Here is a 24,569-nt window from a genome sequence, read left to right on the forward strand (position 1 = left end):
GAGATGAGAAGAGGCTTGGGGTGGAGGTTCCCAGGCCTCTTGCCCTAACTTCCCCACCTCTCTGAGGGCAGGAGCTGAGCTGCTGGGTTTACCCATCCATCCATCTCCCTGGATGGAAAGGTGACACCTCCGGGGGCCAGGATGCCTTTCAGTCTTGTGGGGGTTGGAGGGGATCAAGAGCAGCCTTGGCATTCAGCAGAGGTAGGGAACAGAGCAGGGACAAGCACTGAGGGTGTGGGCGTGCAGGCATCATCAGGTGAGAGGTGGAAGGATGAGAGTTTGGAGAAGCTGAGTCAGGGTGACCTTTGGCAAAAGGGAGGCAGATGCTTACCTTTGGGGAATTTAGAATCTTGGATCTTCACCTTCAGTTCAATGAGGAAAATGTCCTCAGTAGGGTCTTGGCTCAGGTCACTGAAAAAGATCTGGAGAGAGGAAGGGAGGGTGGCATTTCCTGGTGTGATTTCCAAATCACTCTATCCCTGATTTCCAGGGATCCAGGGCCATGGAGAACCCTTCCACATAAAGAAGACCTACTTCTTGGATTTGAGGTCTTGAAGTTAATAATGATCTGATTCATTTAGAGATGAAGAAGGTAACGTTAATAACCAAGAGCGTCTGGGTGTGTTCATGATTGGTGGCCTGGTGACCAGTGTTTCCCCAGAGCCTGGGTATTTAATCGGTGGGGTCCTGGGGTCCCTTGGAGCCTCCAGTGGGATGCTTACCTTGACTGTGTAGATCTGGAAATAGATGGGTTGGGTGCCCATGCGGATGTAGTAGGTGATGACGTCTAGGATGAAGGGGTCCACAGTCCGGGATGTGTCCAGGGAAGGAGGCTGTGATGGAGACAGGGAATGTCTTCACCAACTCCCCCAAGGCCACTGTGGGAGATGCCATTTTCTTCAGAGAGAAACTTCAAGCCCCTACATCTCTGGGATGCACTAACCCAGTGCGTCCTTCAACACATTCCAAACCTTTCCTACCACTGAATTTCCACTCCCAATCAAAATATTCCTGTCCAGAGCCCTGCCTCCCTAGGGAATCCGACTGATTTCAATCCTACAGAGACTACTGAGCGCTGCTATGTGTGAGGCACTGTGCTAAGTGATTGAGGGAGACAAGATGCTGGAGAGTGAATCTAATGAGAGACCCAGGAGTGGGTTCTAGGCTCGGATGGGCTACTTGCCATTGGCCAAGCAGGCGTGGGCAAGTTATTCAAACTCTATGAGGCCCGAGTGTCCTTCTACAGAAAATGAGAGGTTGAACCAGATGATCTGATGTCTCTTTCAGCTCTGGTGGTCTCTGCATCTATTAATAAACTAATTGGCTGGGTGTGGTGGCTCAACACCTGTAATCTCAACACTTTGGGAGGCTGAGGTGGGCGGGTCACCTGAGGTCAGGAGTTCGAGACCAGCCTGACCAACATGGAGAAACCTCATCTCTACTAAAAATACAAAATTAGCCAGATGTGGTGGCACATTCCTGTAATCCCAGCTACTCAGGAGGCTAAGGCAGGAGAATCGTTTGAATCCAGGAGGCGGAGGTTGCAGTGAGCCAAGATTGTGCCATTGCACTCCAGCCTGGGCAACAAGAGCGAAACTCCATCTCAAAATAAAATAAAACAATTCAGGTTTGCGTGTTATTGGGAATGGACTATGCGTCTTGTCCTCCAGTCCTTCCCTGGTCCCATATGATGATAAAGCATAGTGACTGGGTTTTCAGAACATCTACATAGAATGTGATAGTGTCAGGGCTAGAAGGAAGCTCAGAGTTGATCTCATCCAACTCATATCCGATCCTCTAAGACCTCTTCTATCTCTCACATCTGGTGTACTGAAATATTGTTCCCTTCGAAAGGGTCACACTGAGGAGCTATGAACGTAGTCTAATAATGCTGTCATTGCTCACATTGTTTCTGGTATCTTCATGTGGAAACCGCTTTTGGAGTAAGCATAGGGCCATTCAAATTGTTAATTACAAGGAGAAGGGGAAAACCAAAACCTTACAGTGTCCCAGCGGAGAAAAATAGCTACCAGCAAAGGAGCACCAATGGGGCCTGCATCAAATGTTCCCACTGTAATAGCATCCAAGTTTCAAGGAAAAAGTATTTTAATACCCAGCTAAATGGTCTTTGTGTGTATGCAAAGACATTTTCGGATCAGGTATAAGCCAGAAAATGTGCACCCCTAAATATCCTTATTCGAATAAAATATGTAAGAAGACACCCTCATCAGTCAAATGATAAAGCAAAATGGAGAGCTCAGTACAGTGACAAGTTAAAAAACAGATATGTAAAAGTGGTAAATTAATGTTATATTTTTTACCGCAGTTTTTAAAACTAAAGTAAATAAATGTGTATAAGTCAATAGCTTTCTTTTATATTAGCAGCAGGCACTACCCAAATATAATGGCATAAAGATACCATTCGCAATAGTAAGAAACACTATCACACACGAGTAATAAATTTAGTGAGAATTGGACAGAAGCTGTATGACGCAAACTTTACACTTATACTGAGGGATATATAAGGACACTTGGACAAATGAAGAGCTACACCATGCTCCTAGAGAGAAAAACTCAATATGCGAAAGATGCTAATTCTCCCCAAATTTCAATCGAAATCCAATAGGATTAAAAATAATAACAAAAACAAAACTTGAAATTCTAAAGTTTATCAGGAAGAGAAATAAGCATATTCTGAAAAGTTTTGAAAAAGAAGAATAATAGGGTAGGCAGGCTTCTATAGCCAGATATTAAAATATCAAAAGGCTAATTTGTACAGAAATGAATAAATCAATGAGAGCATAGGTATGTACTAAATACTTACAAGCACATGTAAGGATCACGTACTAAATACAAGCACATGTTAGTATCATGTACTAAATACAAGTACACGTAAGTATTTAGCAAATGATAAAAGTGGCATTTCAAATTTCTGCGGCAAGATGGTTTATGCAAAATAGCTTTAGGACAACTAGCTCAACATTTGGAAAAAATAAAATGACATACTTCACATTAAACAATAAAATTAACTGCAGATAGACAATTAATTAAATGTAAAAATTGAGACATGGAAAGTGTTAAATTATCAGTGAACATTTATTTAAGCTTTTGGAAGCATGACTCCAAAGGCAGAAACTGTAAAGAATAAAAGTGCTATGTCTGACTACACCCAAGTATTAAACTTCTGCAAGTCAAAAAGTGGATAGGCAAGTTACAACTATGGGAAAAAAATCTGCAACATATGTAACAACAAAAAAGTTAGAATTCTCTTACTATATAAAAGCCCTTTCAAATCAGTAAAAGATGAGTTCCCTCCCCACTGCCAGCCACGGTTGGGGTATGGCAGTGTGGGTTTGTGGTTAGGAGAGGGTGCTCTGGAGTCAAGCTGCCTGTTTCCAACTGGCATTCCACCACTCATTCTGTGACTTCAGGCAAGATACTTAATCTCTTTGTGCCTCAGCTGCTCTATCTGTAAAACGGGGCTATGGTGACAATGGTACCTACCAACAGGGGCACCTGCCTCTGGGCTGCTGTGGGAATTAAATGAGCTGCCCTGTGTGTAAGTGTTTAGAACAGTGCCCAGTGCAGCATAAGTGCTCAGGAAACATCAGCTGTTACAATCATTGAAAAATGATTCATTCCACTATAAAGACACATGCACACGTATGTTTATTGTGGCACTATTTACAATAGCAAAGACTTGGAACCAGCCCAAATGCCCATCAATGATAGACAGGACAAAGAAATTGTGGCACATATACACCATGGAATACTATGCAGCCATAAAAAAAGAGTGAGTTAATGTCCTTTTCAGGGACATGGTGAAGCTGGAAACCATCATTCTCAGCAAACTAACATAGGAACAGAAAACCAAACACCACATGTTCTCACTCGTAAGTGGGAGCTGAACAATGAGAACACATGGACACAGGGAGTGGAACATCACACACCGGGGCCTGTCTGGGGGTTGGGGGCAAGGGAAGGGAGAGCATTAGGACAAATATCTAATGCATGCGGGGCTTAAAACCTAGATAAGGGGTTGATGGGTGCAGCAAACCACCATGGCACATGTATACCTGTGTAACAAACCTGCATGTTCTGCACATGTATCCCAGAACGTGAAGTAAAATAAAAATAAATAGATAAATGATAAAAAAAGAAAAAGGATCACAGGAAGCTCACACAAGAAGGAGTATAACTGCCCTACACACTTACGAAGGAATATTTTACTTCGTCTTTTCCACGGTGGTCTGGTCCAAAGTACGAGCCTGGTAAGTGTCCCGAGTGAGTTCAAAGCCACTATCTGGTTAGGGCCCCTGTCTTGAATTCCCTTCATGTCTCATCCCACCTGACTCTTAAGGTCAAAGGTCAAGTGCAGCAGCAAAAAGATGGCCCCCTCTCACCCCCATTTCACCCTCGCTGCCTACTTGGGCTCCTCCGTTCTCCCCTCTGCCCAGACCCCACTCCCGTCCCTCTCTCCCTCCCTGGTACCCTCACCCTCCCCTACCATCTCAGCCAGCTTGTGGATGGCGGGGCACAGCGTGTTGACGTTGCTCTGGTACCACGGGTCTACGCGGCCCAGGAACGTAGCCAGCTCTCCCAGCTCCGGCTGCCTGGATGCTGCAGGCTTCTGGGGGAAAGGGGATGGGGCAGACCCGTCAGGCCCTCTCTCCAGCTCTGCCTTCCAGCTGCCATCAGCCTAGGCTGTGTGAATATGGTCAAGTCATTTAACCTCTTGGGGCATGAATTTCTGCATGTGAAGACACGTCGTTGTTCTGTTTTATAAACTCAGATGAAGCTAGAATATCTTTTGCTGAGGTTCACTCAGCAGGGACATTGAAAAATGATCACCGACTTTAAAAGGGGAGAGACAAGTATGGCTTTGACCTTACTGCTTCCCAATAGGAAGTGGAGTGTGTAGTAGGAAGTGGAGCATGCGGTAGGAGTAAGGACTGCAAGTGTGGCTCTGTCCCCACAACTAGATCAATGGACTTCACTGCCTGCAATTTCCTTTCATGTCATACCAGAAAGTGTGGGGTGTGTGTGTATGTGTGTGTATGAGAGAGGGGAGGGAAGGGGAGAGAGAGAGAGAGAGAGAGGAGAGAGAGAGAGAGAGAGAGAGAGAGAGAGAGAGAGAGAGAGAGAGAGAGAGACCGCCCTGTGTTTGAGAAGTTTGCAACTAATTCCATTACCTACAAAAACAAAACAAATAGCAGCAAGCAGGCTGCCATCAAGAGAGAGACCCAATCTCTGGCCACATGCAACCCCCAGAGCACCGTCTGCAGCCTCTGAAATAGAAGACCGCTGACCTCTCTCCCGCCTCCACATTCTAAGGATGCTTACTCTAGTCCCTGAGCCGGGGATGTGGGGGATGCGGGGCTGCAGGTGTGTCCCTGCCCAGCCTGCCCTGTCTCTGCCCCGCCACCGCCTCCCCGCGGTCCAGTCACCTCAGGCGCCAGCACGGGGATGTAGTAGAGCTGCAGGCTGAGTCTGGGAGTGAGGCAGAACTTCTGGGTCTCCCGTTTCCTAGCAATGGGCAGCAAAGCAGAGGAGGTTAGGGGCGGGGCTTGGCTTCAAACAGACTCGGCTCTGCTATTTGTTATCTCTTGACCTTGGGCAATTTGTGTCATCTTTCTGAGCCTCTGCTTTCTCATCTACAAAATGGGTACAGTAATGTCTCCCTCGCAGGATGGTGATGAGGGTTCACGGAGCTAACGAACACAAAGCAGGGATTGCGGTGCTCTGTGACGGCTGCGGGCACTGTGCGGCATCCTCCTCCGTCCCACCCTGGCCTCTGCCTCCTGACCCTCTCTTGCCACCCTGTGATCCTTCACCAGCCCACGCCAGGCCCACCTGTGCCCCTGACCAGCGCCCACCCCCAGCCCCCACGTCGGGGCCCCACCTGAGTCTGTGGTAGGCCTGGGCCAGGCGCCCCAGCATCCTGTCATCTCCGAGCACAAGTACCCGGGCTGTGTGCAGCCGGGACACGCCGGGCAGCATTTCCCCATCCCCACTGGGCCGGCCTGTCCTCCGGTGCAGCCCTGGGGGCCCGTCCCAGCTGCCAGGCATCAAGAAGTCCAGGGGCCATGCACGCTTCTTGATGCCCCCTTTGCGCTGCAGCCCGGCTCGCTCCATCTCAGGGCTGCCGGGTGCAGGCAGCTCATCAGCCCCCGTGGGAAGGTCCCGCTCAATGCCGCTGTCAGTGGACAGCACAGAAACCCGGGCCAACTCCCGGTCCGGCCGGAGGCCCTGCAGATCCAAGACCTCCAAGTCAGCACTGAGGCGCAGCTGGGATCTTGGGCGGAGGAAGAGCACCAGTTCCTTCCCTGGGGTGGGGGAACAAGGGCGGTGAGGACACGTGAGGCTGGCAGGGCTACGTTTCTGATTTCAGCCAGTCCTCTTCAGAGGATACACACACACAGAAACACAGACAGACACATAAAGACACACATATGAACATGCACAGAGACTCACACACAGAGACACACAGATGCACACACATACACATGTACAGACACAGACAGACATACACACACGTGCACACACACAGACACACACACAGAGACACACTGAAACACATGCATGCACGCATACACACACAGACACACTGACACACACACGCATCATGCATACACACACACTGACACACGCATGCACGCATACACCCATGCAAGCACACACAGACACACTGACACACACACATGCATGGATACACACACTGACACACACGCATGCACACATACACACAGACACACTGACACACTCATGGATACACACACTGACACGCATCCACACACATACACTGACACACACTCATGCACGCATACACACACACTGACACACACTCATGCATACACACACACTGACACACGCATGCACACAGACACACACTCATGCACACATACACACACAGACACACTGACACACACTCATGCATACACACACTGACACACGCATGCACACTGACACACACTCATGCACGCATACACACACAGACACAGACATATACCACTGTTTCCAGACAGCTCCATGGGCACGTACAGAGCTGCTCCTCACCGGTCCACAAGTGGAAGGTGATGTAGGGGCTGGGCAGGGGAATGCTTGGTGGCCGCTCTTGGACAAGGTCACCTGCAGAAAGGAGCAGGCTGTGGAGGCCATGGAGGAGGCCATGGGACCCTCCTCTGCCCTCCCCATCCTGCCCAGCTCCTGTGCGGGGTCTTAGAGAGGTGGCAGGGACTCTCTCCTTCACATCTGGTCTGCCTTTCCATCTCTGCCACCACCAGCCCATCCAGGGCCCAACAGTGCAGCTGTCCCCTCCCTGTCCAACAATGCTTAGTAGCTACGTTTTCTCAAACCTAGCTCAACCCTTAGGGGGTCTTCACAAACCAGCTCACAAGGCCTTTTCCAACCTATGCTCCTATGCTGGCCATGCCTTCAGCCCTGTGCAGCTGCCAGACTGGCTTTCCCACTGTTCTTAAAATGCCCTGCCTGCATCCAGACGAGGCAGGAAAGACCCCTGCCCTTCTCAGGGCTGCTTCCAATATCTTGCATGCAGTAGACACTCAGTTAACATTTGCAGCTGTCGGCGATGCTGACGAGAACTCATCAACAAAGTTTGGGGGCAGCAGGAACCCCGGGCAGTCCAGGGGAGAGACAAAGGACAGCCCTTCTTCCTGCTTCTCTTTCTAGAATCTTTTCTGACCACTCCAGTGGCCCGCGGTGGTCATTCCCTCCGAGCAGACTGTCTGCACACTGGGCACACCTCACATGTGGTCTTAGGATTTGGCTCCGTATTCCCGTTTCACTTCTATATTGCTGTGGCTCCCCACTCATGAGGCTGCAAGCTTCTTAGGGGAGAGCAGCTAGTGTTCACTGAGCACCTACTGCCTGCCAGGCCTTATTCTACTCACCTGGCACACACTGTAATCATTTCTCTGGATCCTGCCAATGGCCCTGGGCAACAGGTGACATTATTATCCTCAATTTACAGGGGAGAAGCCAGGACACAGAGAGGTTGAATAACTGGCCCAAGGTCACATAGTAAATAGTACAGTGACGACTTGAGCCCAGGCAGCTCAGCTCCAGAGTTCCTGCTCTTACCCACAACACTGTGCTTATAATCACCACTCCATACTGCCCCCTACAGCCACAGGGGCTTGACGGGGGTGCTGCCTGGTCATTAAGATGCACAGGGCTTGGCCGGGCACGGTGGCTCATGCCTGTAATCCCAGCACTTTGGGACGCCGAGGAGGGTGGATCACGAGGTCAGGAGATCGCAACCATCCTGGCTAACACGGTGAAACCCCGTCTCTACTAAAAAAACACAAAAAAATTAGCTGGGCATGGTGGCAGGCGCCTGTAGTCCCAGCTACTCGGGAGGCTGAGGCAGGAGAATGGCGTGAACCCAGGAGGCAGAGCTTGCAGTGAGCGGAGATTGAGCCACTGCACTCCAGCCTGGGTGACTGAGCAAGATTGTGTCTCAAAAAAAAAAAAAAAAAAAAAAAGATGCACAGGGCTTAGCCAGGTGTGGTGGCACGTGCCTGTGGTCCCAGCTAGTCGAAAGGCTGAGGTGGGAGGATCGCTTAAGCCCAGGAGGTCAAGGCTGCAGTGAGCCATGATCGAGCCACTGCACTCCAGCCTGGGTGACAGAGCAAGACCCTGTCTAAAAAAAAAAAAAAAAAAAAAAAAAAGGCACAGGGCAAGTCTGGGCAGGAGACAGGTGCCCTTGGATGTGTCTTGGGGGTGGCCCAGATGGTCTTAATTAATCCATGCAGAGTCACTGGTGAGTGTTAGCAAGGGGCCACAAGGGGAGCAAAGCCAGATTGGCCCCAGGGTTAGTCCCAGCTTGGGGTACAGGAGGAGCTTTTTCCATGTGGGATCAGAGGCAGTGTAGAATGTTAAAGTAAAAGAGCGGACAACTTCGAAGATGGAGTCTTTAGGCAGGGACTATCCTGCCCACCTCACCCAACTGCTGTGGCCTCCACCCAACCTGGGCTGCCAAGTTCAAACCCAGGGCCTGGCACACTAACCTCTTCCGGTGGATTCCAGTCCTTAACCCCATGCCTTATAATGACAGGTGCACGATCAGTGACTGTGCATATCTGGGACATGCAGGCTGACATATTCCATGATACTTTGAATGACCACGAAATAGGACCCAAATCAGAACCATCCTACAACAGCCAGGAAACACATATTCGGGACGTTTCTCTGGGCTATTTCAGATGCCCCCATCCACATGGGGCTTGTGTCAGGGTAGGCATTATCTTACCTACATTATGCCTTGCATAAGATAAGGCGTTATCTTATAAATATGCAAATAGGAAGGGTGAGGAATAAAAATCTATGATACCAGATATAAACGATGTTGACTCATCTGCTCTTTTAGATGCTCTGGTCCTTGGACGATCAAATCCTTGGATTACTGCAGCTGAGTAGTGAACTAGACAGCCTGGATTTGTATCTTGGCTTTGCCATTTACTGCCTTGGGTGATCTTGGGCAAGATATTTAACCTCTTTCTAACTCAGTTTCGTCCTCTGTAAAATGGGGATAATAATAGTTTCTGCTTATAAGTTGACTGTGAGGTTTCATTGATTTAATACAGTATACGCAATATATTTAAATATATGTAAGGTGATTAGAACAGCAACTGGAGTATAGTAGGGGCTCTGTGGGCATCGGCGGTTATCATGACCAAATTACCCACCTTCTTTTTTTTTTTTTTTTTTTTTTTTTGAGACGGAGTCTCGCTCTGTCGCCCAGGCTGGAGTACAGTAGTGTGATCTCGGCTCACTGCAACCTCCGCCTCCCTGGTTCAAGTGATTCTCCTAACTCAGCATCCCGAGTAGCTGGGACTGCAGGTGCCCACCACCACGCCCAGCTGATTTTTTTTTTTTTTTGAGACTAAACCCTCTACTACTTTAGTAGAGGGTTTCCCCATGTTGCCTAGGCTGGTCTCGAAACCCTGACCTCAGGTGATCCGCCTGCCTCGGCCTCCCAAAATGCTGGGTTAACAGGCGTGAGCCACCGCTCCCAGCCTAATTACCCGCCTCTTAGTCCCGGTCCTGCCAAACCCCCAGGCTGCCCCCAGTCCCCAGGCTCCTGGGAGTCGGCCAGGCACCCAGACAGAGGCAGGTCCAGCGCTGCTCTCTGGCGCCCCCTGCTGTGCAGTGAGCTGCCCCCGCGGGACTCTTGCCAAGGCCCCCCATCTGCCAGTCGCTTACCACCGCAGCGCCCCGCCGCGGGACCCAGCAGCGAGCAGTAAATCTCCTCCAGCCTCTCTACGTGTCCCTCCCGGCTCGGGCTGGCCTCGCTGGCCATCTGCTCCAAGGCGGCCACCACGGCGTGGAAATAGTGCTCCAGGGTGCGGCGAGGGCTGGCCTGTTGGGGAGGGGCGTCAGAGCCTGGGTCTTGGCCCAGCGCCCACGCACCCCAGCTCCTAAGCCAAGTCCGCAGGGCCCTGGCAGCCCAAGGTGACACCTCTCCGCTGCCCCTGGGGGCCCGGCAGGAGCTTCCCCCGAAGGCTTCTGGATCCCACATCCAGGGCCCTATGCCTGCCCTGCAAGTGGGGGTTCCCCTCTGCCCCTCACACGCTATTATGGGGAGACTACTGGTCTGCAATGTCTGTTACCCAGAGAGGCAGAGATAGCCACTGACGCCCACTTCCTGAAAGCGTCACCCAGCACTTGGATCAATGTTCTAGCCCCCACTAGATTGTGAATTCCAGGAATTCACAGGGAATTTTGTCTGTTTCATTCATAGCTGCATCTCCAGCACTTAGAATAGCTCACTGCACCAGGTGTTGTTCTAGGGGCTGGGATACAGCAGCAAACAAAAGAGATTGTGTGATCTGGGAAGCCCCCCCTGAGAAAGTGACTTTTTTTTTTTTTTTTTTGAGACGGAGTCTTGCTCTGTCACCCAGGCTGGAGTGCAGTGGTGTGACTTTGGCTCATTGCAACCTCTGCCTCCTGGGTTCAAGCGATTCTCCTGCCTCAGCCTCCCGAGTATCTGGGACTACAGGTGCGCACCACCACATCCAGCCAATTTTTGTATTTTTAGTAGAGACGGGGTTTCACCATGTTGGCCAGGACGGTCTCGATCTCCTGACCTCATGATCTGCCTGCCTTGGCCTCCCAAAGTGTTGGGATTACAGGCGTGAACCACCGCGCTTGGCCGAAAGTGACTTTTAGGTAAAGACTTGAAGTGAAAGAGTGAGCCATGCAGCCCAGCGCGGTGGCTCACGCTTGTAATCTCAGCACTTTGGAAGGCCGGGGTAGGTGGATCACGAGGTCAGGAGATGGAGACCACGGTGAAACCCCGTCTCTACTAAAAATAGAAAAAATTAGCTGGGTGTGGTGGCCGGCGCCTGTAGTCCCAGCTACTCAGAGAGGCTGAGGCAGGAGAATGGCGTGAACCCAGGAGGCGGAGCTTGCAGTGAGCCGAGATCACGCCACTGCACTCCAGCCTGGGCAACAGAGCAAGACTTCGTCTCAAAAAAAAAAAAAAAAAAAAAAGAGTGAGTCGTGCAGGTATCTAAGAGAACGTTCCAAGCATAGGGAGTAGCCAGCGCAAAGGCCCTGGGGTGCAAGTATGTTAGGCATGTGCATGTTGGGAGACAAATGAGGAGGCTTGTTTAGCTGGAGCAGAGGAAATGAGAGGGAAAGTTAGGAGACAGGCCAGAGAGGAAATGAAGAGAGATGGGAACAGGTCAAGGCCCTCAAGATGAGGTTCTTGTATTTTTATTTTTAGAGATGGGGTGTCTCTCTGTTACCCAGGCTAGAGTGCAGTGGTACAGTCACAGCTCACTGCAGCCTTGAACTTGGCTCAAGTGATCCTCTTGTCTTCCGAGTAGCTGGGACTGCAAACACATGTCACTGCGTCTGGTATTTTTTTTTTTTTATTACTTTTTGTAGAAATGGGGTCTTGCTATGTTGCCCAGGCTGGTCTCAAACCCCTGGCCTTAAGCAATCCTCCTGCCTCGGCCTCTCAAGTACCTGCAATTATAGGCATGAACCACCACACCAGGCTCTTATAGGTCATTGCAATCACTTTGGCTTTGACTCCGAGTGAGATGATGTAGTAGCTACTGTTGTGGTGACCCAGATTCCTGCTTTCGGGGCTGAGACACTCATTCACCCTGCTGCTAGGAATACTGGCATTATCTTATATCTTATTATTGGTTTTTTTTTTGGAAATGGAGTCTCTCTCTGTCACCCAGGCTGGAGTGCAGTGGCACAATCTTGGCTCACTGCAACCTCCACTTTCCGGGTTCAAGCTATTCTCCTGCCTCAGCCTCCAGAGTAGCTAGGATTACAGGTGCCCGCCACCACGGCCAGTTAGTTTTTGTATCTTTAGTAGAGACTGGATTTCGCCATGTTGGCCAGGCTGGTCTTGAACTCCTGACCTCAGGTGATACACCCGCCTCAGCCTCCCAAAGTGCTGGGGTTATAGGTGTGAGCCACTGCGCCCAGCCAAAATGTATTAATTTTTGATTTGGGGGAAAAGGTGATGCGAAACAGGAGAAGGAGGAAGAGCAGGGTGAATGACTGGTATGGGCATGCAGGGACGAGGGCTGGGACTGACAAGGGGCTGCAGGCAGGGCCATTACCTGCAGCTTCCTGTGCAGAGCGCCTGCGTGACAGGCCTCCCCCAGAGCCGCCTGCAGGGCGTGGGAGACCACGTGGCGCATGCAGGTCTCTGGTGTCTGCTGCGCCTGGGCCGCCTCGATCTCCAGTAGCAGAGCACTGCACACAGACGCAGACACCAGCTCAGGATCCACGAAGAGGAACACTCTGAGGGCAGAAGCAGAGGGGAGAGGTGGGATTGATAGTAACTAATGGGAGAGGGGCCACCGGATGGGCACCCTCAGAGCTGTGCAGCACCTCCAAGTAATTTAATTCTGCTAAAAAGAGGAGTCTCAGATTCAAAAGTCTCTGGGTGGGATGACAATAGGGAGTGGTGAGGACTGTGGCAAATAAGAGCATGCACAGCCCTTCTAGAGGGGCAGCTCTAATCCACTGTCCACAGAGGAAAGCAGGCCTAGTCCCATGTTTAGGAAAGTTCCAGCCTCAATCCTGCTCCCTCTCTCAGCATCCTGGCCCAGGGACCAGGTCACCCTCTAGGAGGGACCCTAAATCCTTCCTGCCAGAACTGGAGTTCTGAACTCTGAGTGAATCTCACCTTCTTTCATCACTCTTATCACACCAGAGAGCCAACCTCCCCTACTCCCTCCTCCTCACCCACTGTGTCTCCCCACCTCTCCCATGGGTGCCCTGGGCCTCCTTGCATCTTTCATGAACTCAGCACCTCACACCCCAAACTCAAGCTGTGCCTTTCAGGGCCAAGTTAGTGGAGGTGCCTGCAGAAGAGGGAGGTGCCGCTCCCAACTTCATCACCCCTCTCCCCAACACGAGCAGGGGACACTTCCTCAGTCTTATCTAAGAGGCTTGGCGTCCCCCATGGAAGCCCTCTGGCTTCATTGTGCACTTGCGCCTGAGCCCCTCCGCTATGGCTATTCTGGAGTCTCCTCTGGCTGCCTGGCTGGTATGATGCTGCATTATGGCCAAGGGCAGGATGGAGGTGGAATGACAGAGCCCCAGAGTGGCCCCGAGGCCATGTCCACCTTCTGCATGTGAGCAGGGTAGCTTCCAATCCAACCTGAGAAGAAAGACCTATCCTGTGTTCAGTGGTCTCCAGAAAACAATATGGCGCCAACCTTGAATGGCAAACGCACCCCACTGCTGGACAAATATCATGGCTGGGGAGGTCTGCTAGGGCTCTTCTTAATCCAGCCTCCTCTTTTGTCCTCCTGCCAGGGAGCAGTCACTAAAGCCACAACAGTTTTAGGAGGCTGAAGGTAGCAATTTTTCTGGGGCCACTCACCTCTCCTGGTAGGGATACAGCTCATTCGTCAAGTTCTGTTCGGCAATGACCATCCTTTGGTACAGTGTCCCTGCAAACCAGACCACTTTGGCCAAACAGCCCCCAAGTCTCTGACTCCCATTCTCCACCTTCCTACAGAAGGTGTGGAGGCTTTTGAGCTCCCCGGTATCCTGGAGAAAAAGGAAAGACCCTGGGCAATGTTGGAGGTGCAGCGTGGGAGACAAAGATGCCCAGTGACTCTTACCTGGGACAGCCATCTCCGTTTTCAGCCTTATCGCGCAGTCCAAGGCGACTGTGCAGTAGGGGGTGGGCAGGGTCAGTAACCTTGTGCAAAAGGCATAGATTCTCTGGTAGAGCTCTTCTGTGATTCCTGTGGCCTGGGTGAGAGGGAGGAGGGGGAGGTGAGAGGGAGGAGGTGGAGGTAAGAGGGAGGAGGGGGAGGTGAAGGGTCCCGGGGGAGTTTCCGGGGAGGGGCTTGGGAGAAGAGGTGGAAGGTCAGGCCTAACAGCCAGACCTGGGCTCACAGCTCTCTCCCAAACCCACACCTTCCAGCCTCTTCTCCCAGCACCTGTAAGACATCCATTTGTCGCCCCGCCCCAACTTACCAAGATAAAAATTCATTGCATCAAGTTATGCAAGCAAATCAACTTCCTCCCAGCCCTCCTGCTCCATCAGGGAAGCACATTCCTGCGGTTCTCCAGGCTCAAAACCATGGAGGCACTTCCTCAGTCTCCTTTGCTCCTCCTTGCATCCCACAGGCCTGAAATGCTCCACAGTGCCCGGGAGGCCCCCCTCTCCCTCCCGACCTCAGTGTGCCCTCCGTCTCTGCCGGAGCTAAGCCCCATCTTGACCCTGGACTCTCCAGCAACCCCAGACTTGGTCTTCCTGCCTGCCTTAACCACCACTCCCACCCGCTGCAACAACACGCAGCTCCCGATTACTCCTCCTGAGACATTAACCACATGAGTATCATGTCTCTTCTCTGTGTAGGGATCAGTGATGTCTCCTGTTGCACTGCACACAGGAGCAAACCCAAAGACCTCATCCTGCCTTTCAAGGCCATTGTCTCTCCAGAGTTCTCTCTCCATATGGGAGGGAAAGGGGGTGGCTAGTGCTCAGAAGCCAGTTTAGGGCAGGCAATCCAAGGGATTTTCTAGGCTCATCCTGGCGGAGACTGAGTGCCCACTAAGGGGAGAGTGTCCAGCCCAGCCACATGCAGGTCACCACTACCACCTCGACCTCAGTCCCCAGCTCACCTTGGTGAGCACGTACATTACAGTGTGCAGCAAGGGAATGATGACATGCCGGAGGTCCTGGCTTTCCGCCTGGAAAACAGGAGATCACGTGACAGGTATTGGGCTGGGGGAATCCCCACTTCATAGCGGGAGGCAGTCTAGGCTGGGAGTGGGCAGGAGATGGGGTGGAAGGCAGCCAGGGGGAGAGCAAAGGGCCATTGTCTGCTCTGGATAGAGGAGTGGGGAGGGGAGGGCACACAGGTGAGGAAGCCCCTCAGTGAGGGTGTGGGAGCGTGGGGGGGCCTCAGAGAACTCTGCAGGTGAGGGGCCAAATTTAATTAGGGTAGGAGTCGCAGCAAAGCAACAAACAAGTCCTCAGCTCGGAGCCTCCCTTGAGTGCAGTGTTTCCCAAACGGTTGCAAAGTACAACATTGGGTAGTGTGAAGGAGAATTTAGGTGGCCCGAGGATAATTTTGAGAAACGTCAATAGTCGTATATTTATGTTTATAGGTACCTTCTGTTTCTGACAAGTGATGCGGGTTTTCCATTTGTGGTCGCGTTATAGTGCTTCTTTTTGAAAGATGTTTATTCAAGTAAAACAATGAGAGTCGACGTAAAGAAAATACTGCTTACGTAAAAGTACAGGAGGGAGATGCATATGGTAAAAATCATGCAGGCAACCAAAGCTTATGAGATATAGCGCTGCCAGGACTGAGCCCCTGCCCAATTGGCCCCTCTCTTCCTTTCATCCCCGTCTTCCTCCCTGAGGTCCAGGAACTCACCTTCTCCAGTTCTCTGAGAAGAATGCGGACCAGCACTGGGCTCTTACCGGGATCTCGCTCGACCTTCTTGTGCAGGGACCACCTCCACATGCCTGGGCCAGGAGAAAGGGGAGCCCGGCATGAGCAGGTGGGCAGTTCTTAGAGGAGACCCCTCTGAGCAGGACCCTGAGCCCTGGAGCCTCAGCTGCAGCTCTGACCAGCCACGGGTGTGACCCCGCCACCAGCGCTTGGCTCCAGGTGCACCTGGGTGGGCTCCTCCCAAGTGGGGAGTTCTAGTCTGTAGCCCTTTGTGGACAGTGAATTCCCAGGGCAGAAAGGAGGGCAGGTGGGACACACCAGTGGGGACAGGTGTGTGACAGGTGTATGCGTGTGGACCACAGAGCAGCAGTGCTTGCAGGTGTGTGCTCCGAGCCACATTCTGGAAGTCCTGCAGGCCTGGAGTGCTGAGGGGAATTAGGTTTGGAAGTGGAGCTAGGGAAGGTGGTTAACAAAGAGGGTGGCAGGCCGGGTGCCGTGGCTCATGCCTGCAATCCCAGCACTTTGGGAGGCTGAGACAGGCGGGTCACTTGCGGTCAGGAGTTCGAGACCAACCTGGCCAACATGGTGAAACTGCATCTCTACGAAAAATACAAAAATTAGCAGGGCATGGTGGCACACGCCTGTAATCTCAGCTACTTGGGAGGCTGAGGCAGGAGGATCGCTTGAACCAGGGAGGCAGAGGTTGTGGTGAGCCGAGTTTGCACCACTGCACTGCAGCCTGGGTGACAGAGTAGGACTCCATCTCAAAAACAAAAGAAAAAAAAAAGGAAAGAAAAAGGGTGGCAGATCCCCAATGTGCTCTGTGGCAGTTGCTGGGAGGGTTGAACTAGGGAGCAGAGAAGCCTTCTCAGTCCTTCAGGCTCTAGGTATTTCCAGCAGGAAAGGGGTTTGGTGAGACGACCCTTGCCCCCTGAGCTCCAGGCCGGGGCTCTTTCCTGTATGCGCGTGTATTGTTGGCTGGGGTTGGGTGGAGGTCAGAGGGACCAGCTGCTGCTGCCAGCTGGCTCTTACCTTGGTTGCTCTGCAGGGCAGGGGCCTGGGTGCTGAGCTCCCGGAGCACAGCCTGCACGCTCCTCTGGAGGTCCAGCTCCACATCTGGGCAGTGGTAGGGGTGGGAGGAAACTCAGTCCACTGAACCTCACCCTCGTCCCACCTCCATTCCTTCCGAGAGTGTCTTTAGCCATTTCTCTGAGCCTCAGGAGGTGCCCGAAGTAATCGACTTAGAGCTGGCAGCCAGCATGCCAGCCAGGGCTGGAATATAGCCTTCCCTTCCACGTTTCTGTGTTCTTTGTAAAACCTGCATTTCCCAAAGTGCAGTATGTGTACCACTGGTGGTATGTAGGACAATTTTAGGTGGTACACAAACGACCTTAAAATCTGAATAGTTATGCATTTATTTTAATGCATGTTAGAAAATACATGTATGTATTTTCATATATATGTGAAATGTATATATCCTCCAAACATATATATGAAATATATATATCCTCCAAATATGTATATGAAATATATAGCCTCCAAATATATATGAAATATATATAGCCTCCAAATATATATATGAAATATAGCCTCCAAATATATATATGAAATATATATAGCCTCCAAATATATATATGAAATATATACAGCCTACAAATATATATATGAAATATATACAGCCTACAAATATGTATATGAAATATATACAGCCTACAAATATGTATATGAAATATATATAGCCTCCAAATATGTATATGAAATATATATAGCCTCCAAATATGTATATGAAATATATATAGCCTCCAAATATGTATATGAAATATATATAGCCTCCAAATATGTATATGAAATATATATAGCCTCCAAATATATATATATGAAATATATATAGCCTCCAAATATATATATGAAATATATATAGCCTCCAAATATATATGAAATATATATATGGCCTCCAAATATGTATATCAAGTATATATACAGTCTCCAAATACGTATATGAAGTATATATCCTCCAAATATGTATATGAAATGTATATCCTCCAAATATATATGAAATATATATATCCTCCAAATATATATGAAATATATATATATAAAATATATATATAAAAAACTATTAGGTTTGTGCAAAAGTAATTGCAGTTTTTGCCATTATTATTATTATTTTTGTGTGTGTGTGTGTGTGTGAGACGGAGTCTAACTCTGTCATCCAGGCTGGAGTGCAGTGGCGCAATCTTGGCTCACTGCAATCTCCGCCTCCTGGGTTCACGCCATTCTCCTGCCTCAGCCTCCCGAGTAGCTGGGACTACAGGCGCCTGCCACCACGCCTGGCTAATTTTTTGTATTTTTAGCAGAGACGGGATTTCACCGTGTTAGCTAGGATGGTCTCAATCTCCTGACCTCGTGATCTGCCCGCCTCGGCCTTCCAAAGTGCTGGGATGACAGGCATGAGCCACCACGCCAAGCCTTTGCCATTATTTTTAGTAGTTCCTGAATCCATGCATGAAGCTAAAACTTATTTATTTTATTTATTTATTTTTTTGAAGCCTACAGCACCCTGTCTTTTCTGGTAGTCTCCACCCCCCGCCCCAAGTATAAAGCTAAAATCTAAAGTCAATTTAAAGAATCGTATCAGATACATACCAGGACAGGTGGTAACAAAGACTCTCTCCTTGACCAAACCTTACTCAGCCTCCTCTTAGCCCTCTTCTTCACTAGGGCTCAGCCCTGGCTCCTGTCCTGCCTTTGGCCTGCCCATCCCAGTTTTAGCAAGAATCCTGCCAAATCAGTTTAGGTTGGAGTCCTCCACTCTTGATATCTCCTGAACCCCTTCATCCCTTACCGTCGATGTATAAGAATTTGACTTGTGCCTCTAGCAAAAATCCTGTTAGCTCAGTTTAGCAAGAATGTCCCGACCCTTGATGTCTCCTCTTAGGAATTTTCCATCCGCTGACCCCTTCACTCTGCTCATTGGCTATAAATCCCCAACTGGCTTTTCTTTATTCCAAGTTGAGACTGCTTTCTCTTTCCTAATGCAATAGTCTTGGATAAGTCTTCCTTACCATTTAATAAGTTCCAGAATAATTTCTTTCTTTAACAGTGGTACGTTGACATGGGAAAAAAAAAAAACCATGAAAGTGGTACAAGAATAAGCAACTGACATTTGGGAAGTGTGGTAGCTGTGAGAATGTACCTCGCTCCTCTCCCACTACCGGGAGTTTAATGGAACCAGGTCCCCAGTTGCTGTGCTGTTGCAGTGGTTTGGATATTTGACCCTCCAAATCTCATATTGAAATTTGTTCCCCAGTGTTGGACGTGGGGCCTAATGGGAGGTGTTAGGGTCATGGTGGTGGATGCTTCATGAATGCCATCCTTGCGGTAATGAGTGAGTTCTCATTCTATTTGTTCCCCTGAGAACTGGTTGTTAAAAAGAGCCCGGCACCTTCCCCCTCTCTCTTGCTTCATCTCTCAGCATGTGATCTGTACACACTGGCTCCCCTTCCACCAGGAGTGGAAGTTTCCTGAGCCCTGAGCCCCTTATCAGAAGCAGATGCTGGCACCCTGCTTCTTGTACAGCCTGCAGAACGCTGAGCCAAATAAACCTCTTTTCTTTATAAATTACCCAGCTGCAGGTATTCCTTTATATTATAGCAATGCAAACAGACTAAGACAGCTGTGAAATCCATCACTTTCTGCTGAGCCACGCCTCCCAGCCAAAATACACGGTATGGTAGTGGTTCTAAAGCAGGACCTTCCCCAGGAGACGCTCAAGCTTCTCCAACTGCCCTGCTGAGCTTTTCTTGGACTCCCATCAGTCCAAGGCATTTCCACTGACCCTTCTTCCTTTTCTCCTTCATTTGGAGTCAGATTTGCACCAGGGTCTGACAGCTGCTCTCCCAGGTCCCTCTCCATTTCTGTCACACAAGTGTTTCCCCAAATAAATCCTTGAACTTGGTGTCTGCTTCTTGGCAGATCCAGACTCAGACAAGAAGTACGGGAAACACTCCTCACACAATAAATTCCTCTTTGCAATTAGCTCCCACCAAGAGTTTGCCATTATAGGTGAGTGTGTATTCTCCAGTTGTCAGACAACACAAACCACATGCCCCAAGGGTTCCTCTTTGACTGGGCTATCAGGAAACTTACGGTCAAATTGGGGCCCAGCCTCAAAAATTAGCTCATCTCATGTGACAGGGATCTCTCTTCTTGGCTCCTTTTTGGTCCTCCTGCTTTATATTCTATTTAATCTATATCTGAATTGCTTCAGATTCCTTTGGAAGTAAGTAGAATAGAGATAACAAATTTAAAAATCAGCAGATTGCAGTCCAAGAGTTAAAATATTTTTAGGCCAAGTCACCATAGGTGCTAGTGCTCATGGTCTGGCCCCTCCTCAGACCCATGCAAAGCCTACGGGGTCCACATCCCTGAAGCCCCCACTTGGCAAGGCCTGGTCCTGAATCTCCTCCAGGCTGAGAGTGGACAGGATACTACAGCCACATCTGCCCACCTGGTCCCTCTGCTGGGCAGAGCATCATCTCCCCAGACTGTTGAGGAAATCATTTAGCTCAGCATGAAGGTTGGTCACAGTCTTTCCTCCGTCTATGCATTTCCACCTTGCATGAAGATTTAATGAGTTAATGCAGGATGAGTTATTAGAAAATTAGCTGGTGCTAAGTCTTTTTTCTCTCTCCTCCCTCCTTCTCTCTCTCCCTCCCTTCCTTCCTTTCTTTTTTCCTTCCTTCTTCCTCTTTCTTATTCTGTCTTCCATTGTATATTTGCAAAGAAAGGCTGAAAACTGTGACAAATGTGATTTCCTCTCATTCCCCTCATCAGAAGCACAGCCAAGCCTTTGTCTTCTGAGCTTGGGTCCCCTTGCTTTGCAAGGGAAGTTGAATTTTTATGTTTCACAGAAAAATAGAGAAGTTGCCAGTAGCCCTGGGAGACCACTTCAAATAAATTTTGTTTTTGAATGTCTGGGTAGCTAAAACAAACTCTCAGGCTTTGGTCCACATCTGGCTTGCTATGTGTTTTGTTTGGGCTTGTATAGTGTCTTAAAAAAAAAAAGCAATGAATTAGCTGCCAACATTTACAAGTCAGGAGATTTTGCATAACGTTTGGGTTTCTGGCATCTCTCGAAAATCTGACAATCTGCTGACACCGAACCTGGATTCTTCTCACATGTGACAATCATAGGGGGTGGGGAGCAATTGCCCCCTTAGATAGGCACAGCTTCTCTAGGTCTTTGTAGTTCCCCATGCCTCGGTTTCACTCATTTATATCCTCTGCCTGGCCCCTGGAGGCACTGAGTCTGAGGCTCCTGGCAAGTTGATTGAGCCAATCAAGCTGGATTGTCTAAAAAGGTGCAGAAGAAGGTTGATGCTTTTAAAGAGGAGAGTGGCCCAGCCCAAGGGTGGAGGTTGGATTCCCTAAGACTGTGAACGCACAAGGGATATAGGGTTCCAGGGAATGAGGAAAATCAGACCGGCTGGGACAAAGCTTACCAGTGGCGGCAAAGGTCAGATGAAGGCCGCTAAGCACTGAGCCCTGTGCCTCTGATGCCACAGCAAAGGTCTCCTGAGCCATCTTCACCAGAGCACGAGAATGTCCCTCAAGGCAGGCTCTATCTCCCTCTGCACCTTGCAAGTCTGGCCAAGCAGTTCTGGTGGCTGTAGCCACCGTGGACTGGAGACGACAGACTTTTCCCACTACCCAGACTTTATAAACCCTGAGCTTCTCACAAACTCCCACGTAGGGGGAAGCACTCCAAGTGAATGATGCTAGAGTTCATCCTAACCTTGGAATATGAGAGGTTGAAGCTGGTTTTGATTTGATTAAATGGAAGAAAGAAATGGGATATTTCCTGTGACTCAAGTGGCTCAGCATTGTTCACATATGGTATGCAGGTCTAACATCCTTGATGACTCGAATAGTCAATAGATAAATGGCATCCATTATTATTATCCTCCTCTGCATCCAGGAATGTGGGATATTACTAATTAGGTATTAATATTATTATTAATATTAAACTTTTTTTATTTAAAATTTTTTTAACTTTTATTTTAGGTTCAGGAGGTACATGTGCAGGTTTGTTACCCGGATATATTGCTTGATGCTGAGGTTTGTAGTATGGATGATCACATCACCTAGGTACTATGAGTACTGTTACTAATAATAGTACTACTCATATGAGTAGTACTAGTACCCACACTAACTAGTTTTTCAACTCTTGCCCCTTTCCCTCCCTCCCCATTCTAGTAGCCCCCAGTTTCTATTGTTGCCATCTTTGTGTCCATGAGTACCCAAAGTTTAGCTCCCACCTATAAGTGAGAACATGCAGTATTTGGCTTTCTGTTCCTACATTAATTTGCTTAGTGTAATAGCTTCCAGCTCCATCCATATTGCAACGAAGGATATGATTTCGTTCTTTTTTATGGCTGCATAGTATTCCATGTTGTATATGTAACACATTTTCTTTATCCAGTCTGTTGTTGACAGGCACCTAAGTAGATGCCACATTTTTGCTTTTGTGAATAGTGCTGCAATGAACGTGCAAGTGCATGGGTCTTTTTGATAGAATGATTTGTTTTTGGGGGGATATATACCCAGTAGTGGGATTGCTGGGTCGAATGGTAGCTCTGTTTTAAGTTCTTTGTGAAATCTCCAAACTGCTTTCCACAGTGGCTGAACTAGTTTACATTCTCACCAACAGTGTATAAGCATTCCCTTTACTCCACAGCCTTGCCAGCATCTGTTGTTTTTTGACTTTTTACTAGTAGCCATTCTGACTGGTGTGAGATGGTTTTGATTTGCATGTCTCTGATAATTAGTAACGTAGAGCATTTTTCCATATTTGTTGGCTGCTTGTATGTCTTCTTTTGAGAAGTGTCTGTTCATGTCTTTTACCCATTTTTTAAGTGGGGTTATTTGTTTTTTGCTTAATCAGTTGTGTAAATTCCTTATATATTCTGGATATTAGACCTCTGTTGGAATGCATACTTTGTGAATATTTTCTCCCATTCTGTAGGTTGTCTGTTTACTCTGTTGATAATTTATTTTGCTGTGCAAAAGCTCTTTAGTGTAGGCCAGGCACGGTGGCTCATGCCTGTAATCCCAGCACTTTGGGAGGCAGAGGGGGGCAGATCACTTGAGGCCAGGAGTTCGAGACTAGCCTGGCTAACACGGCAAAATCCTGTCTCTACTAAAAATACAAAAATTAGCTAGGCGTAATGATGATCCCAGCTACACAGGAAGCTGAGGCACGAGAATCGCTTAAACCTGGGGGGTGGAGATTGCAGTGAGCTGAGATTACGCCACTGCACTCCAGCCTGGGCAACAGAGCGAGACTATGTCTCAAAAAATCAAAACAAAACAAAAAGAAGCTTTTTAGTGTAATTAGGTCTCAATTGTCGATTTTTGTTTTTGTTGCAATTGCTTTTGAGGACTTAGTCATAAATTCTTTCAAAAGATTGATGTCTAGAATGGTGTTGCCTAGGATTCATATAGTTTGAGGTCTTACATTTAAATCTTTCATCTATCTTGAGTTAATTTTTGTATATGGGGAAGGGTAGTGGTTCAGTTTCATTCTTCTGCATATGGCTAGCCAGTTATCCCAGTACCATTTATTGAATAGAAAGTCCTTTCCCCATTGCTTATGTTTGTCAACTTTGTCAAAGATCAGGTGGCTGTAGGTATGTAGCTTTATTTCTGGATTCTCTATTGTGTTCCATTGTTTATATGTCTATTTTTATACTAGTACCATGCTGTTTTTGTTACTGTAGCCTTGTAGTAGAGTCTGAAGTTAGGTAATGTGATGCCTCCAGCTTGGTTCTTTTTACTTAGGATTGCTTTGGCTATTTGGGCCCTTTTTTGGTTCCATATAAATTTTAGAATAGTTTTTTTCTAGTTCTGTGAAAAATGACATTGGTAGTTTGATAGGAATAGTGTTGAATCTGCAGATTGCTTTGGGCGGTATGGACATTTTAACAATATTGATTCTTCCAATCCGTGACCATTGGAATAGTTTTCCATTTGTTTGTGTCATCTATAATTTCTTTTTAGCAGTGCTTTGTACTTCTGCTTGTAAAGATCTTTCACCTCCTTGGATATCTGACATTTAAACAGCACTTGAAAGGCATACACACAGAGAATCTTCCATAGGTATGGTAAGGTGATGCTATGTGCTCACCAGACCAAGTTCATTTTTGTCACCAAGAGACAGCAAGACTACATTTCCCAAACTCCCCTGCAGTTAGATAATAGCCATGTGACTGCATTCTGGCCAATGGAATGTGGTGGAAGTGATTAAGTCCCTTGTAGGCCTGTGTTCCCTGCACTGTCCTCCATACTCCTCTTCCCTTTCCACAAGAGGGAATAAGTCTCATTGCCTGCTTGAAGCCCAAATTGGACTGTGGTGAGAGTGAGAATAAGCATGTGTTGTCTTAATCCTCTGACATTTGGGGCCATTTGCTAAAGCAGCTACTATTCTCTGACTGACTCATGGATATGTAAAGTGTTTTCCAGTGTCTTATCTCACTTGATTCTGACAAGCACCCTGTGAGTTTGGCAGGACAAATACTGTTCTCCCTGTTTGATAGATTCCAGGTCTAGAGCCCTTACCTTTGTCACATATTGCCTCTCCAACCACAGAAA

At 48.6% G+C, this 24,569-nt stretch overlaps 1 protein-coding gene across 23 annotated transcripts in view, besides 4 other annotated features; it reads right to left on the bottom strand.

Annotated features, from left to right (window-relative positions):
* The window catches only part of PIK3R6 (phosphoinositide-3-kinase regulatory subunit 6), a 64,956-nt gene that overhangs the window by 19,943 nt on the left and 20,444 nt on the right, over nucleotides 1-24,569 (bottom strand). For 4 of the 23 annotated variants that reach the window (XM_047435443.1, NM_001010855.4, XM_047435456.1 and 1 more), the window contains exons 3-15: nucleotides 16,950-17,033; nucleotides 15,900-15,991; nucleotides 15,139-15,207; nucleotides 14,127-14,259; nucleotides 13,883-13,952; nucleotides 12,609-12,792; nucleotides 10,225-10,381; nucleotides 7,042-7,128; nucleotides 5,903-6,326; nucleotides 5,448-5,526; nucleotides 4,508-4,630; nucleotides 723-833; nucleotides 332-422 (exon numbers count right to left, since the gene is read on the bottom strand). In XM_047435443.1, coding sequence (XP_047291399.1) covers nucleotides 332-422; nucleotides 723-833; nucleotides 4,508-4,630; nucleotides 5,448-5,526; nucleotides 5,903-6,326; nucleotides 7,042-7,128; nucleotides 10,225-10,381; nucleotides 12,609-12,792; nucleotides 13,883-13,952; nucleotides 14,127-14,259; nucleotides 15,139-15,207; nucleotides 15,900-15,991; nucleotides 16,950-17,033 — 1,704 coding nt within the window. Of the gene's footprint in view, nucleotides 1-331; nucleotides 423-722; nucleotides 834-4,507; nucleotides 4,705-5,447; nucleotides 5,527-5,902; nucleotides 6,327-7,009; nucleotides 7,129-9,352; nucleotides 9,512-10,224; nucleotides 10,382-12,608; nucleotides 12,793-13,882; nucleotides 14,053-14,126; nucleotides 14,260-15,138; nucleotides 15,208-15,631; nucleotides 15,992-16,949; nucleotides 17,034-24,569 lie in introns of those variants that run through there. The other 19 variants (XM_047435444.1, XM_047435448.1, XM_011523678.3 and 16 more) reach the window with 13 other exon arrangements.
* Nucleotides 4,921-5,721: an enhancer, noted in NCBI's record as "H3K27ac-H3K4me1 hESC enhancer chr17:8730902-8731702 (GRCh37/hg19 assembly coordinates)". NCBI's record gives its function as "activates a minimal SCP1, AML or CMV promoter by ChIP-STARR-seq in primed H9 embryonic stem cells {active_cell/tissue: H9 hESC(primed)}" and the evidence as "EXISTENCE:reporter gene assay evidence [ECO:0000049][PMID:30033119]".
* Nucleotides 5,722-6,522: an enhancer, noted in NCBI's record as "H3K27ac-H3K4me1 hESC enhancer chr17:8731703-8732503 (GRCh37/hg19 assembly coordinates)". NCBI's record gives its function as "activates a minimal SCP1, AML or CMV promoter by ChIP-STARR-seq in naive H9 embryonic stem cells {active_cell/tissue: H9 hESC(naive)}" and the evidence as "EXISTENCE:reporter gene assay evidence [ECO:0000049][PMID:30033119]".
* Nucleotides 10,557-10,636: an enhancer, noted in NCBI's record as "active region_11705". NCBI's record gives its function as "activates an Ori minimal core promoter by ATAC-STARR-seq in GM12878 lymphoblastoid cells {active_cell/tissue: GM12878}" and the evidence as "EXISTENCE:reporter gene assay evidence [ECO:0000049][PMID:35858748]".
* Nucleotides 14,162-14,968: an enhancer, noted in NCBI's record as "H3K4me1 hESC enhancer chr17:8740143-8740949 (GRCh37/hg19 assembly coordinates)". NCBI's record gives its function as "activates a minimal SCP1, AML or CMV promoter by ChIP-STARR-seq in primed H9 embryonic stem cells {active_cell/tissue: H9 hESC(primed)}" and the evidence as "EXISTENCE:reporter gene assay evidence [ECO:0000049][PMID:30033119]".

This window comes from Homo sapiens, chromosome 17, assembly GCF_000001405.40.
Source record: "Homo sapiens chromosome 17, GRCh38.p14 Primary Assembly".
Taxonomy (NCBI): domain Eukaryota; kingdom Metazoa; phylum Chordata; class Mammalia; order Primates; family Hominidae; genus Homo; species Homo sapiens.